At 39.5% G+C, this 17,054-nt stretch overlaps 1 protein-coding gene across 2 annotated transcripts in view; it reads left to right on the top strand.

Moving 5' to 3' along the window:
* CUBN (cubilin) overlaps window positions 1-17,054 on the top strand; it is a 305,846-nt gene that overhangs the window by 86,800 nt on the left and 201,992 nt on the right. For both annotated transcript variants that reach the window (NM_001081.4, XM_011519708.3), the window contains exon 27: window positions 1,792-1,979. In NM_001081.4, the coding sequence (NP_001072.2) occupies window positions 1,792-1,979 (188 nt within the window). The remainder of the gene's footprint in view (window positions 1-1,791; window positions 1,980-17,054) is intronic.

Below are 17,054 nucleotides of genomic sequence, written 5' to 3'. Positions count from 1 at the left end.
TAGAGACTTTTACTTTATCAAAGTAAAGTCTAGGTTTTGGAAACATAATTCTACTGAATCAAAATTTATCCATAATTTTACACAATTATCTTTTCCCACAGAATCAAAATTTATCCATAATTTTATGTAATTATCTGAAAGTGGAATTAAAAGTCACAAAATTATTAACTGTATACACAATATCCCTTGAATTAACTGAAAGAGTAATAACATTTAACCTTGATTATGTATGAATTTTAAGATTCACATTGATTTATATCTGGGGATTAGGCTGAATCCTAGATAGTTTTGAATATTAAGTTTTAATATATAGCTTTGTTCTTCAGAAATGTATCACTAGTACATAAAAAGGTCTCCTAAGTTCTATCAGAGATACATCTGTTTGACTATGTAATCATTTATCTAATTTTATTACTGCTGTGCTAATCTATTTCTGGTTATAATCAGATTGTTTAAGGGTTTCTTTTTTTTCTTTTCATTTCTGAGATATTTTTCTGTCATAATTTCAGAATCCTGAAAGTGTAAATGAGTGCACATAAGAGGCAAAATCAGAGCAAACTAGTGAGATTATCTGTAAAATTTGCCATGGGAAATTGGAGATTTACAAATAGTGTAAGGTCTGAGTGCTGAGAGTGGCCCATGTGGTTTACTGGAATGTATTTTCCTGGGCCCTGTGTTGCCCCTAGTCATCGAGGCACGTGATGCCTATCTGCCTAATAGGTGTACCTTCTCACAGTCTTCTAAAACAATAAGATTATTCTTTAAAAATCCTTTATGGACAAAACTGTGACCTAAAGATTTTCAAACAGAATGGGTTTAAGTATTCTCCCTGCTCCAACAAAGCAATATTTTGAAGAGCCACAAATGTACACTTTTTTAAACCAAAGTTATAAATGGTGTTCTACCCACCTTCAGAAAGCATATCGTAGTAGGAATACATCTATGAATCACACTTTCAGAGACAGCTCATTCCATATAATGTTTATTTCCCGTTCTCTTTTATTGCACATCATAGAGATAATATATTCCTTGTTTAAGTCATTAGGATTGGCTGAACTGGGCACCCAGGATTAGACATACTTAGAGGTATCTGGTTTGGTTTTGTTGAAAACTCAGCTCAAGAAAATGCCACCATTGGATTGAAGACTTTTTTTCTGTAATTTCACATTTTCCTTTCTTCTTTAAATCCTTTCTACTCTATCTATTCGCTTGGTACTTCCTGATGACTAACTAGAGGGAGAACGGAGCCTTTATTGTGAATTTCATGCAGACTTTTGAATGTTCAACAAAGCCATGTTGTTACTGGTTTTTAGCATTCCCATAGGATTTTGGGTTTTTAAACTGTTGAATTTAAAAGTCAGAATTTCTGTCCCTTCCACGTGTTAACATTAAAAAAACAGCAGCACAGAACGTCGAATGCGCTTCTCTAACAAACAAATCAGACTGATCCCTGAATATAACCAAGTTATTCTGCTCTCCACAAATTCAAGGGAATTTGATGCCTATTTTAACATGACTATTTAATTTTCATGACTCTTTAGTTTGAATTCACTTCAGTATTATTTCACATTTCTTCTAAATGGAAATCCTTTCACTATGAAAATACTGCACCAAATATATATGTGTGTGTGTCTCTGTGTGTGTATATATACACACACATATATACACATCATATATGTGTGTGTGTACATACACAGATGATTTTTATTTATTTTTTTTAAAGGAAAATCTCATCTTGGAGCACTTATGAAGTATATAATAGTGGTTCTTAACAGTCATTTCTTTTTCCAGCATGTGAGAATGTGGTAATAGTCAATCAAACCTATGGCATCTTAGAGAGTATAGGGTATCCGAATCCTTATTCTGAAAATCAGCATTGCAACTGGACCATCCGGGCAACAACAGGCAACACTGTGAACTACACATTTTTAGCATTTGACTTGGAACATCACATAAACTGCTCCACAGATTATTTAGAGGTATGTATTATAAAGCTTGATTGATCACTGCTTTTTCAGATCAAGGGAGATGTGTCAAGTTAGAATCCATCATGCTTTTTAGAATAAAATCCCTAACTCTGCCCCACGCATCTATAACACACCAACCACCCATGGTATTTGAACAGGTATATTTCATATTTAATGTATTAAATTGTGAATACAGAGAACTATCTATGTTTTTAGGTTTCAGTGTAACTTCTGGACTCATTGACCTCATATTACTTAACTTACATGGAAGGAGAGTAATAACCTCTATTTTTTGTTGGTTGTTTTTATGTTTGTTCTCTGTGTATAAGAGATCAGAAAATGTTTGGGTATCTTGGATTTATTTAAGATGTCATTTTTCTAGTATGAGGTATCATGGTTTTAATTGTTGTTTTTATTTTTAAATGTAAGTTCATTTCAGTATATTTTTATTTTTGTAAAATTGAAGTTTCAATTGTTATAATCATGACCACTAGTAACATTTATTCAACTGTCTGTATGCAATTTCAGGCAATAAATCTTGCTTAAATATTAGGCAACCTTGAATATAAGGTAATATGTTATTTTTGCAATAAGAAATTTTAACTTAAAAAGCTTTTTGATAACTTGCATATGTAACTTTTAGGGCTACAAATTGGGAGGTTATTTTGGCATCTACGTTTCATCATCAGTAAAATAACTTTTTGAGTCATCTAAGGCATTATCTTTATTTCTGTCTATATTGTTAATATATAATACTTCAAAAAATCCACATATAATGTTTTCACTAGATACCCTTTCTGAAGTGATAAGTACTTGCTCTGATAACAGGACATTTTTTTTCCCACCTGCCCTCCTACCTGCAGCCTAGTGACTTAAGGTAGTTGTTTTTAAGGTGGTCAGTGATTTTTAGAAGTCTTACTTACAAAGACTTCAACATCCATTGCTGGCAACTCTGGGGTCATATTCCCAGGAAAAAATATGTTATTCTTGTAAAATGTTCTTAATTGTGTTTTTACAAGTTGTATAGGAAAACTAGCATTGGTTGAGGTTGGTTGAGGTTAACATATATTTTCCAAATAGCACTTTTGTTTATGAAAACAAAGAGTGACAACAAAGCATTCTGCACTTTGAGAGACTCTGTGAGGTCCTAACTATAAGGAGATTCCCTTGTTTTTCAGAGATAATTTTTTGGGAAAAAATTTTGCCTTATATTTACAAAAGTACAATATTACAGAAATATTAGCCATAGTGTTTACCCATTAGAAAGTTTTGTTTACCAGTATTCTAAGAAAATATGACACAACATGAAACAAACTTACAAGCACGTACTTGGCAATGGTTTTAAAGTCCACCTTCCTTGACCTGGAGTTCAACTGGTCTTCACAAGCTTAATGATACCAGGATGGTATCATTAAGATACTACTAGAATAGGCATCCATTTCTTCACATGGTGAGACCTTGTTTGTGTTTTAGAAAAAGCAGAAAAGTTGCTTTCAAAGCCCTTTGTTTATACCGTGAACACAGCAGTTGGTCATACCTCCTTTTACCAGTTAGGACTATTCTGATTCCCACTGGACTGTGGGCTTCTCGAAGGTCTGTGCTGTCTCCTACTAACTTTGTAACCCAGGCACTTATTATACAGGTGGGACATTACAGGAGTTCAGTAAGTTCAAGTTGAATTGAATATCACAGCCATATTTTAGTATCAGTCTAATGATAACTACTAATGAATGAGAAAGATTGAATTCCAAACTGGCGTTTTTGTACGACCTCCTACACACGCAGTGCAATCCTACAAATTGGAGCACAAACCAAAATAGGACTCATGATCTTGCCGAGCGTTGCACGTATAACAGTGTGCTGGGCACCATAATCGTGATTTGGTAAAGCGTAATGGAGAAAGCCACAGAAAGGAGGATGCTTTTGAATTGGGCTTTAAAGGAGGCTTTGGCAGAAAGAGGGGGGAGGAAAGAGATGAAACATTTCCAGGACCTGAACTCCATTTCTTTCGACTCATTTGAGGATGAAATGGCAACAAAAAGGTGTTTAAAAACTCAAATTAAAAAATGCTTGTTCCAGCAACTGCAGAGTAGCTCATTAGAGCCCCTTATGGATGACGTGTCTGTCATGTTATGGTCATGCCATTTCTCTTGTGCAACATTGACGGTGAAAGAGCAAAAATACAAAATGAGAACCAGAAGTTCAGAAAGGCCTTCCAAAAAAACGGCGCTGTTGCCAGAGGGAGGAGATTGTTTTCCATCTCTGTGAGCCAAGAGGCCAGACCAGAGCAATAGCTGCAATAGCTGGTCTATGATGGAAATTTTAACACACAAACAACCATTTACAGAGAGAAAACTCACACACACAGAAATCTAGCTTCCATTATTTTAATCGCTTCTGGGTTTTTTCAGCTGACTTCCCCAAATCCCAACTGGATGCCTGTTACTAGAGCCAGAATTTAGTTATTCTGAATTAATAAAATGGAAACTACAAAAAGACTTAATTACGTGCTGGTCAGACACTATCCCGCCTTGATGAGAGGAATGGGTTTGAAAAGATCCCATTGGAAACCAAATGCATCCTTTATTATTTCACCCTCTGGGCAAAACAAAATATTTCAGATCTGGAAATAAAATATACAGTGGGAGAAGGGACCATTTGCTTAAAGGAGTGAGACCATTTGCCCGTGCAAACATGGGGAATCAACCTGAAGAGTTCTGGCTGTATTTTACAACTTGATTTCAGTCTTCCATTTTTATTTTGAGTCTGAGTCTCCATGCAGAAAAGGAGATTTCAAACGAGTGATTGAATATAGAAATGGAAATGATAGATTTGGGAGAAATCAACATGGAGATGTATAGGAAGCCCAGGGTATTTGTTAAGTCAACAGGGAGCATGTGTGTAGTGAGAAGAGGAAGTAGGAACACTAAGAGGTGATTGTGGCTGGGCACGGTGGCTCAGGCCTATAATCTCAGCTACTCAGGAGGCTGAGGCAGGAGAATCACTAGAACCCGGGAGGCGGAGTTTGCAGTGAGCTGGGATCGCACCATTGCATTCCAGCCTGGGTGACGAAGTGAGACCCTGTCTAAAAAAAAAAAAAAAGGTGACTGTGTCATGGGAGCCAAGGGAAGAGCAGTCGAGAGAGGTTGTGGTTCAGAAGGGTCCCTTGGAGATCAATGTGACTCTGGTCAGAGCAGTGTTTGTGGGGCGAGAGCAGGAACCAGACAGTGTAAAGAGGTACAAAGAGGAGAGTGAGTGTAGACTGAAGTCTAGGTCCCTGAATTCTGAGGCTCTCTGTAACAAACCAGAGTAAGTGATGGCTTCTTTTCTCCAATCCTTATCCTTCATTTCCCTAACTGGTCCTCATCTAGTTCACGTGTGTGGGACACACTCCTTTGCATGTTCTCTTGTATGTCAGTGCCTCTTTAAATGTGGCCCCAGAATTGGATGCAACAGTTCAACTAAACCTGGCTAGGCCCAAGTAGGTTGGAACCGTATTATCCAGTTCATATATTTCTGGTGGTCTATGCTGAAGTTAAATGGGGTTTATTGTAGCTAAGTCATGATATTGGCCTATATCAAGATTTATAATCTCCATATCACTTTTACATGAATTATTATGAATTTATGATTATATGATTTTTAAGAATCTAAACAGAGATATTTTTCCTAATAAATCAGATTTGATTTTGTCTGAGAATCCCAACACATCATGACCTCCCTAAATCTTCATTCATTGCTTTTCAGAGCATTATTCATTTGCATACAGACTCATTGGCCACTGACCTAGTACTTCTTCAAAAATAATTGATAAAAATGTCAAACAAGATTGCATCTATTTCAAATACTCTTAAATGATAAGTTCTTTTGGTTAAAATTGATCTATTATTAAGTGCTTTTGGAATAGCACTATTCAAACTACTAGGTAATAAAAGCTAATATTTATTCAGCATGTATTATTTGCCAGGTAATTCTCACAGCAACCCTGTATTATAAGAAATATTATCCCCATTCGTTAGGTGAGAAAAGTGAGGCAGATATAGGTTGTTCATATTCAGAAAGATTATAAGTGTCAAGGCCGGCTTTCTAGCAGGCACTGTAACTCCACACCGATGCTCTCAGCCATAACACCACATACCCCGGGAGCACTCTCACAGTGTCCTGTCACCCTCACAGGGATCATGGGGAAGTGTTCCTGCTGCCCCCAAGTCTACCATTCTATTGACACTGCCGCAAAGAGAAATCAATGTTTTGCATGACTCCATAGATAAGCAGGTGCCATTTATTATAATCACCTCTTTCTTTGCTTCATGTTGACAAATTATTTTTAGTGTCTAATTTAGAATTTTTCCAAAAATTACTGTTAATCTTACTGATCTACGAGATTCTAGAATGAATCTTTCCCCATCTTGGAAGCTGGAACGTTTTCCCTTCAGCCCCCTGGCAGCCCTGCTGGTTCTCCTTGTCTGGGCTCGCACTCTTGGTGGTGGCACCGAAACACAATCTGAGCCACATGAAGAGGACAGGCGCATGTGACAGGCTGGTTACTTTGAGAAGGCTCACACCTCCCCACACACAGGAGAGGCTGAGAAGCCTGGAGAAGGTGGGAAGCCAAGAGAGTGAGGCAGATTCTCCACTCCCACTTCCTAAGGCTCTGCTCCTGCTCCCTGACTGTTCCCATCCATTCCCATCCCTCTCCCCAAAGGCTTCCTCTGAGTTTCAGCAACCTCGGAATTTTAGCTTCAACAACATGACCACCCCAGCCTTGACCCTACAGGATCATTTACCTCAAGTGCTTGCATACAACCAGACTTTCCCTTGGTGACAAATCCCCAGCACAGGGAGCTCATGTGTTTGAGCTCGACAGCAAATGCATGGGTCTAGCCTGCCTATGGACGATACTCATTAGGGCAGTGTAGCCAAGCCCTCTAGCCGGTGATGTTCACAGATTATGTTCTGGGCAGAAGCAGAACTTGTGAGCAGGGGCATAGATTCCGCTGGAATGCTAAAACTTTTTTTTTTTAATTTAACTTTCAAGTTCAGGGTATGTGCACTACCCTGATAGTAGTACACATACCCTGAACTTATTTATTATGTAGGTAAACTTGTGTCATGGGTGTTTGTTGCACAGATCATTTCATCACCTAGGTATTAAGCCTAGTTCTCATTATTTTTTTGGATCCTCTCCCTCCTCCCACCCTCCACCCTCAGGTAGGCCCCAGTGCCTGCTGTTTCCCTGTCCTGTGTCCATGTGTTCTCAGCACTTAGCTCCCACATATAAGTGAGAACATGCAGTACTTGGTTTTCTGTTTCCTGCATTAGTTTGCTGAGGAAAATGGCCTCCAGCTCCATTCACATTCTTGCAAAGGACCTGATCTTGCTCTTTTTTATGGCTGCGTTGAAAACATTAACCATGAACTATGCACCCATGAATTCACCAAGATTACAAAATCAGCTCTGTAATCACTATACCTTTCAGTGCTGTGGCATATAATTCCCTTAAGCCTGGAAAAGTTCATTGAAAAGAGTTGACTCTTTTATCTTCTAAACTGGAATTCCATGTCTCTTCTTCCAGTTTCAAAATCAAACTAGGCATGTTTCTACCTCCTCTTCATTGACATCACACTCTCTTCTGAAAGCATCCATGCCATCCGTGTTTCCCTCTTTCATTTGCCCTAGTCACAGCCTTAAAATTAGACATTTTTTCTAATGTTCAACAATATTTTTCTGTGCCATTTCCCAAAGTTTAGCTAGTTCGTATGTGTACCCATAAAATGGTCAGAAAGTTCCATGGAGCCTCTTGGATTTCTGCTTAGATTGATTTCTTTAGAGGGTTCTCCTTTTTTGCACCCCCCAAAATTATTCCTGATTTTGTAGTGAGAATTTAGTTTTTCAGAATTTGCCAATTTTCTAGAATGTTCTTTCCTTTTTCAATTGCGTTTTCATTTGTTTATTTTTTTTTTTTATCCATAGGTTTATATCTTGTTTTGAAGTTTGAATCCCCAAAACCTTAGTCCGGTTAAGTGGTCAGCCATCACAGGCTCTAAGTTAAGGCAAGGTGATCACTGTCTCCTATTGTCTTGGTGACTTCCATATTAACAACCACTTCTTTGCTAGCCAGAATTAGTCCAGAGTTGCACTTCTCTTCACTGTCTCCTTTATATGAAGAGAGCATATAAAGAATTCAACAAATGCTACATTTTTTGGGGGAACAAGACATCTCATAGGTGTCCAGATTGTTGAAACAGTCTCCCCGTCGCCACTCCTGTAGATCTCTTTTGGTACATTAGTGTTTATAGATTTCCTTTACAAAAGATTGCAGTCTCTACTGAAAAGAAGCTGAGGTGGGAGGATAAAGTCCTTATAACTGGCTACCAAATCTGGCTGCATTCCAGAATCATCTGGGGATCTTGTTAGAAAAATTTATTCCTAGTCCTCATCCCAGACTTAACCAAATCCTTGAGGATTCCCCAAGAGCAAGCTTTGCACAAGCCCCTGGTCCAGCACTTGAGACCACTGTTCATAGCCCACTTCCACCAAGATAGCCTGTTTTATCCTCACTTCAATGCTCTCTCCTGGGGAGGGAAAAGTATCTTAATAGGCATCTTGTTAACATACATTTGCCTGCTATTAAATGTTACTTTCCAGTGAGGACTTACTCTTCCATTGCTATGGCTGAGTTATGTATTTTATCTCACCAAGGCCTGGTCATACAGTTGATATTATGTTTACCTCATTATATTAAAAATGTCAGATTCACTTTACAGTTTTTGTATTCTGATTCTAAACTTTCTCCCCCTTTTCCTTATCGGGCACCTTGACCACTATCATCTTCCATTAAATCATTTCCTTATTCCTTCCCCTTTTCCACTAAAGTCCATTTCAAGTCCTCGTGATAGTGTGGGGGACTTCAGTCAAAGGCATTTCCCTCCAGTCTTTATAACATGCATTTCATCTCTTGCCAAATCCTTGCTGATGTCATCCTGTTCACCCCAGATGCTTATATCACAGTTTGTTGCACTCCCGTATCCTCCTTTCAGTTGCAAAATAATGCATTCCAAGAGGAAGAATGGATAAAAAACATCACCAGTATCCCTGAATCTTGCAGTGTCACATCCATATTCTCCATGTCTACAGCCTAAACAACATTTTCCATATACCACGACTGAGAAACATCGGGCTCATGGGATATTGTCAATACTTAAAGTGATGCTAGCTGTTATGGAGAACTCATACATTCTCAGTTGCTTACTGCAACACAGGTTATTTCTAATCACATCAGAGTAAAAGGCAGGTGTTCCTGGCTTCCATGTGGTAGTTCATGAAACCAAAGGAAGGGGAAGTCAATTTGCAGAAGCCACATAACTGTCTCTGCCACAAATGTTGGTAGATGTTTCACAAATAGAGACCTATATTCTAATAAATCTGCGATATGCCAAATTAAAACACAATTAAGCAGGGTTTGTTGTTTTGTTTTGCGTTTGCTGTGGTATTTCCTCAGGCTGTCACTATCCTAAATATGCATTCTTCATTCCTTTATCCATGTATCCAGTCAGTAGGATATATTTTAGACACTTAGGCTATGGACATGTGACTGTTTTAGCATCAGTTTTCCTTGTCATGATGGAGGAAACACACCTTAATCAATTTATCACACAATAAAAATTTAACCACAGGCAGCGTTAAGTGCTGGGAGGGACAATTATAGTGCACCCAGAAGGCATGAGATGGGAACTGAGCTCCTTTGTGGGTCAGGAAAGGCCTCCCTGAGGATGAATAACACACCAGGTGCCAGGAGGCTTGAGATGTGAGGGACTGGAAGGAGAGCAGTGTGAGGCTCTCAGGTGGACAGGGACCTGGCCTGCAGAGCAGGGTGGGCACATTAAGAGTTTCAGAGACCTCCTGGAGAGCAGCAGGAGGTCTTTCAAGGATGTGGTCAGATCTGCACTTTTAAAACAATCACTCTGGCTACCAGAATAAACTGGAGGGAGGTAAGAGTAACGGTGGAGACCCAGTAAGGGGATTGCTATAGGCCAAGGGAGAGAGAACTCCAGGTCTTCACCATTGCTGGGGAGGAAGCATGAGATCGAATGATTTCAGAGCACTTAGGAGGTACAATTGACAGAGATGGATAACAACAGGATGAAGGAAAGGGAGACATCAGAATATAGCCTGATAGATAGAACTGGACGCAGGGAAAACCACCAGGGGAGATTAGTCCCAAAGAGATTATCCTTGCCCAGAAGTCTGATTAATGAACATCTATTGGACATTTGTATTCCATAGAACATTCTGAGGAAAACATTATTCTAGAGATATTTTCCAAGTTTATTTCATTTTCCCCTCATACAAACAAGCAAACTTTGAAGTTCATGAGGCATTAGAGAGTTATTCGCATCTCAGATGTTATTTTGAGAATTACAGTAATATTTGTCATTAATGGAATGCCCATCATGTGCTAGACACTACTACCAATACTTTGATAGATATAATTGTCTGTCCTCATAGTAGTCCAGTAACTGAGTATAAGTATGCTCACAGGAGAACAGGGATTGAGATGGGGAACCATACTCAGTGCAGGAAGTGTCATCACTACATGAAGTGATGAAACTACGTTCACACTCAGTGCTGCACGAATACAGTGTGGGCTCTGGAGTCCACCTGGCTCCAAAGCTCTTTACCAGCTGTGATCTTGGGCAAGGAATTTAACGTCTGGCTGCTTTGGTTCTCTCGTGTGTAAAATGAAGATAATAATCCACACACCTGGAAAATATTGAGTCCTCAGGAAATGCTTATTACTCCCCTCCACGCCCCTTCTGGAGAGAGCCCAGCTCCTGCCTGGTCATTCAGCTTCTTCCTGGGACACTTCAGGAAATGGTTTCTCACCCTTACACCAGCTGACCTCCATCTCTTGCAAATGCCATCTCCATTCCTTGTGCCCTGCCAGTTAGGAGCAGTGGCTCCTCCCTGGCGAGGTCTATCTTCCTCTCCAGGCAGAGTTCACATTTTGTTTTCTTTCTCTTCCGAGTTCCCTAACTCGATCCATGGACTTCTCCATAAGGGCTTTGCTTTCTCTCTGTGCTCTCCGAATCTGTTTAAAGGCAAATTTCTTCTGTCCTTGGAAAGACCTTGCATCCGCTCTAATAAGTGAAGCGTAAATCAGTGTTTGTGTTTGCAGTGCACGTCACTGCTGGTCACATGATGGCATAACAGATTCCAAACAGGTGCCAAGGATGATTCTTCAATTTCCAAATTGCTTGGTTTAAAGGTAAACGCCAGTCTTTAGCTCCCTATTGAAAACAGCTCCAGGCACTGTGCTTTCTATTGTTCTAGAGGGGAGTCACTGGAATTAGAACTGCCTCAGCCAGCACTCTTCTATCTGGTGACTACCATGGGATGCTAATGACAAAGATGTAGTAAGTCCTCTAGCACTCGTTCGCAAGAGAATGTCTTCTAGGCACCCAGACATATGATAGAATGTGCTGAATTGGTAGTCTCTGTACCTGCTTCAGAGTGAAGCAGGTAACTTCAGAATGAAGTTTAAACCCAAACTCCACTACTTAGTAGCTAGGTGACCTTGGGCAAGTTCCTTAGTGTCTATGTGCCTCACTTTCCCTTTCTGTAAAACGGAGTAATAAGAGTCAATGAATCCATATATGTAAAGAGCCAAAACAAGGTCTGGCAAATAGAGAACAAATCTATAAATGTTCACTGTTATTATTTGCACTGATGCTGATGTAAGAGAAACATCTCAGTAAGGTATAGAGAAATTCACAAATAGAGAGCCTTCAATTCTTTAGGTTGAGATATAATTAATGATTCATTTCTCAAGACATTTAATTTTCCTCTTGTTTTCTGCCTGCAGCCTGCATGGTTAATGCATTTTGACACTTCTCACTAAGGATAAATGACAAATGATAAAACCAACAATTTTTGTCCACTTATTTTACTCAAAGCTCCGTTAAGAAAAATAATGAAAAAAATTTTAATTTCAGTGACTAACAGGAGTGTTCGTATTGTCCCTATCATTTTAAAAATTGTTTTGGTTACTCTCTATTATTACAGAGAATAAAGACTTTCTGTATCCTGGAGTTTAACAACTCTTATTTTATTTTATTTTATTTTTGAGACAGAGTCTTACTCTGTCGCCCGGGCTGGAGTGCAGTGGCGTAATCTTGGCTCACTGCAACCTGTGCCTCCCGGGTTCCAATGATTCTCCTGCCTCAGCCTCCCGAGTAGCTGGGGCCACAGGCACCCACCACCACACCTGGCTAATTTTTGTATTTTTAGTAGAAATGGGGTTTCACCATGTTGGTCAGGCTGGTCTCGAACTGCCGACCTCAGGTGATCCACACACCTCGGCTTCCCAAAGTGCAGGGATTACAGGCATGAGCCACCACGCCCGACCAACAATGCTTATTCTTAAGAAAAGAACTGCCACAGAAGGAAATAGGAAAAATTCTTCTTCAGTAGTTGATGCCTTTCAAAATATTAAATTACTAAACCTCTACCTACCTCAGTTTCCAGAACTCTAAAATGAAGATAACAATACTACCTGCATTACAGAGCTGCTAGGATTTTTAAATTAGAATAATGACCAGCATGGAATAAGTGCTAATACATATTATCTATGGTTATTTTAACATAAACATAGTCTCATGGATTATTTTTTTGTGCTCTGAAGCAGGAGACCCCAATCTTTTTGGCACCAGGGACTGTTTTTGTGGAAGACAGTTTTTCCACGGACCGGGGGTGGGGTGGGAGGGTGGTTTCAGGATGATTCAAGTGCATTGTATTTATTGTGCATTTTATTTCCATTAGTCTTACATTGTAATATATAGTGAAATAATTATACAAGTCACCATCATGTAGAATCAGTGGGAGCCCTGAGCTTGGTTTCCTGCATTAGACAGTACCACTGGGGGGTGATGGGAAACAATGACAGATTATCAGGCATTCGATTCTCATAAGGAGCACGCAACCTAGATCCCTCGCGTGTGCAGTTCACAATAGGGTTCATGCTCCTATGAGAGTTTGATGCCACCAGTACTGGTCTGGGGACTGGGGCTCTTGCTCTATAGCATTTTGTGGTAAATAAATCTGTGGTTTCCAGAGCAGCCTTCCCAGTTGTAATTAACATCAATTGGCCCCACTGTGTTGAAAGCAGTGCTGCTTCTCCTGCCTCCCAGTTTTCCTACAAAAGCCACTGGGATTGTAGATAAAATCCTGTTTTCCAGTTGGCGAGATGCAGAGAAGCAGATGAGATTTTGTCTGAGCAGCGGTGGATCTGAGCCGACTTTGATTATGGCTCCACCGCCAACGCTTCCTGGGCAGATGAGTCATGCTTCCTGGAACTGTCTGTCAGAGGAAGTTTGCTTCTGGGACTTTTGCATTTTGCTTAGAGCTTAGAGATAAGCTATTACAATTCTAAGTTCAGCTGCTATTCAAAAACATGCATAAAAGCTGGGAAGAGTTTACCAAACATTTCAATTTATAACTTGATACCAGATATGAGTCTAGCACCGTACTAAGCATGATACCTGGATTCAAAAAAAGTTTAGAATGAAGTATATCCATTAGTTAGCGAAGCCAGATGCTTTGTAGTGTCGTTGAGTTTAGCATGAGGCATTTTAGAAGAAATTTTGGTTTTAAGATTGCCTGAGTAAAATGTGATTTTTTAGTTATAAAAAATTGAAAGAAGAAATGTTATTTCAGTGTGATCAGAATCCCTTTCCTTAAAAAGAAATGCTGATCTTTTCTGACCATCTTTCACAATGAAGGATTTTCGTATGATTGCATTAATTTGCAGCAGTTAATGAACCAACGTTCCAACCTTCAAAAGAGCCTCTGCTCTCAGATTCAAAAGAAACTCTGCGTGTTTCCTCTCTTCAAACATGAAGGACAGAATTAGGATGAATAATAATCAAACCTAAAATAATTTCTGAACTACCCTGAAGCAGTAAAAATTCCATTAGATGCTCAGAACTTGAATTGTCCTATGCACACTGCCTTTCCTGGTTGACCTCAGGTTGCTCTGCTCCTCAGACTGGCGAAAGGCAGGGCAACCGAAAGGTCTCTTCCACTATCAGACAGGCTCATGGTATGAATAAGCATGCATTGAGCAAAATGCTAAATTTTAAACACTGGTAATCACAGTTGTGGGTTTCAGTTAACTATATTGACTTTCTACTTTTTAAAATGGGAAAGATTTCCAATTGCAACATTACAGAATTTTGTTTAAACACGTCTTTACCCTGCAGTTCCTACATTGGCTCTTTATTTATTTATTTATTATTTTTTCTTTCTTTCTTTCTTTTTTTTTTTGAGACAGAGTCTCACTCTGTTGCCCAGGCTTGAGTGCAGTGTTGCATTCTCAGTTCACTGCAACCTCCGCCTCCCAGATTCAAGTCATTCTCCTCCCTCAGCCTCCTGAGTAGCTGGGATTACATGCGCCCACCACCACGCCTGGCGAATTTTTGTATTTTTAGTAGAGACAGGGTTTCGCCTTGATGGCCAGTGTGGTCTCGGGCTCCTGGCCTCACGTGATCCACCCACTTCGGCCTCCCAAAGTGCTGGGATTACAGGCGTGAACCATCGCACCCGGCAGGCTCTTTATTTAATAGACTTTCTTTTCCTGATCTCACTGTCTTCAGGGAGAGCCCGGATGGCAGTCCTCTGGCTTCTTCCAGCTCAAAGGTCTATGATTTCACGTTGTTCTATGAACCAGGTTCTTCTCTGTTCCTGAGACCATCTGCAGCAGGTGGTGAGAATTTTAAGAGGCATAATAATAATAATAATAATAATAATAATAATAATAAATGTTTAGTGTTTTACTGTAGCAGGATAATTGGCAGAGGGAAGGCTGAGGTTTATGGAATTAAATTTTCATGTATACACAGGAGAGTATGCTTAGCTTTCAAAGCATTTCACTTACCACTAGGGAGGGATTTAGGAGCCCTTGCTCCATCAGTGACTATCGAAACATATGTTTACATGAAACCGTCAGTCCCTGAACATCTGAAGACATTATTATTTTTAAAATTTTTAATTTTTGTGGGTAATTAATAGGTGTATATATTATGGGGTACATGGTGTGTTTTGATACAGGCGTGCAATGTGTGATAGTCACATCATGGGAATAAAGAAATAATTTTTTGTAAATAATTAGCCTAATTAATAATAAAAATCTAGTTATGATAAAAGGAAGCATTATAGGCAAAATATGATTTTAAATTAATGCTGGAGCAGATTACCTTACATGGTAACATTTCAGTGGATTAATTTTTACATATAACCTTGAGATACTTAAGAAAAGATTATGGAGATAGACAATTTAATATTTTTAGTAGGCCAGGTGTTTATTTGACAGTCTAAAAGGGTATGAAATTCTGAGATTGGAGAAGCATTACTAATGCATATCTCTACTGCCATGTCAATAGGTCCCCAAAGATATTGCTTTAAAAATAAATTTATCAGATCACAAAGGAATTTATAGTCATTATAGGAAATTGGGAAAATGTAGAAAAAGCTAGATTAAAAAATCCTAAAGTATATCATTATTACTAATATTTGGTGGTATTGATTTCCTGTCATCGCTCCTTGTATATTTATTTTATTTTAATATTCGAAGGAGATTATTCAGTACATACTAACCCATAATGACTTTTTTCACCTAACAATAGCTTGTGACTATTTCCCCATGTTATTTATTATGTCATTTTCAACATTGCTCATCCCATCATCACAATACAGCCACCAATTCCTGTTGTGAAACACTTAGAATCTTTTCAAATCTTCACCATTAGAAACAGTTCTGAGATAAGTATCTTTGTAGTTAAATGTTTTCCCACACCCATGATTGGACAATGATTTAAAAAATAAAAAGACTCAAATTGTGGCTTCTAATAGGAGTAATATATAGAAAGCAGAATAAAAATGTAAATTCTAGTAAGAGCAGACAGCAACTAGCCACCACATAGAAAGGAAACGCTGGTTTTTATATGAGACAGACCTGTAACTCAGGGTGACACCAAGTAACTCAAAATGTGGTATTTCGATGGGTTTTTTGCTCTCATGCAAAGCCCAACATTATGAGTAATTGTTACTTTTAGATGATATTTCATATTTCCTGCCCCACCCTGTCAGCACATGGCAAGGCGGCTTTTTCTGTGCCTATGTCAGGGAGCATGCTATGAGTGGCCATGTGCCTTATGGAGGGGACTTAGCCTCCCAAGGGCCATCTTGGAGTCGGCTGGGATCAACCATGCTCTGCTTATCAGCCTTCCTCTACATTTGCCTCATTTATCCACCATGATTTGATTTTGCATTTGCCCCCTTGGGCTTTGCTTATCCACAATGGAAGCGCTGTATCTCCTCTGTGATTCTTATTATTTATTTATTTATTTTTTTTTTTGAGAGAATCTTGCTCTGTTTCCCAGGCTGGAGTGCAGTGGTGCGATCTCGGCTCACTGCAAGCTCCACCTCCTGGGGTTCAAGTGATTCTCCTGCCTCAGTCTTCCAAGTAGCTGGGACTACAGGCGTACGCCACCACACCCGGCTAATTTTTTATATTTTTAGTAGAGACAGGGTTTTGCCATGTTGCCCAGGCTGGTCTTGAACTCCTGGCCTCAAGTGATCACCCGCTTCGGCTTCCCTAAGGGCTGGGATTACAGGCGTGAGCCACCACAACCAGCCTCTGTGATTCTTGCTTTGCAATTTCTACTGTTGTTACAGGAACATTTCAAAGCCCTTCAAATTTAAAGTAACCTGAACTTGGATAAAGTTCCAAGTTTTTCCAGGAGATGTGAGTGCAAACCTCAGCAACAACATTTTTAACAATCACCCTAATGAGGCCTCTCCACAGATCCTGCTGTGGTGGTTGTTTGGGGTGGGGAACATCTGAGCAGATGCCCTGAGAATTCCCTAGGTCCCATCCTTCTGGATCTCCAGTGATTCAGCAGCAGGAACTACAGGGCTGGGTAGGACCCAAAGGGGAAGGGAGGCTGCAACAGGAAGAGATGCTGCTCACTTTTAGCATGAGAGCCACTTTGCTTGCCAGTGGACTCTATCCACCTCACCGTGGCAGCC

Source organism: Homo sapiens, chromosome 10, assembly GCF_000001405.40.
Source record: "Homo sapiens chromosome 10, GRCh38.p14 Primary Assembly".
NCBI classification, from domain to species: domain Eukaryota; kingdom Metazoa; phylum Chordata; class Mammalia; order Primates; family Hominidae; genus Homo; species Homo sapiens.
The sequence above is the reverse complement of the archived record's forward strand: the minus strand, read 5'-3'. Positions and strand labels throughout refer to the sequence as shown.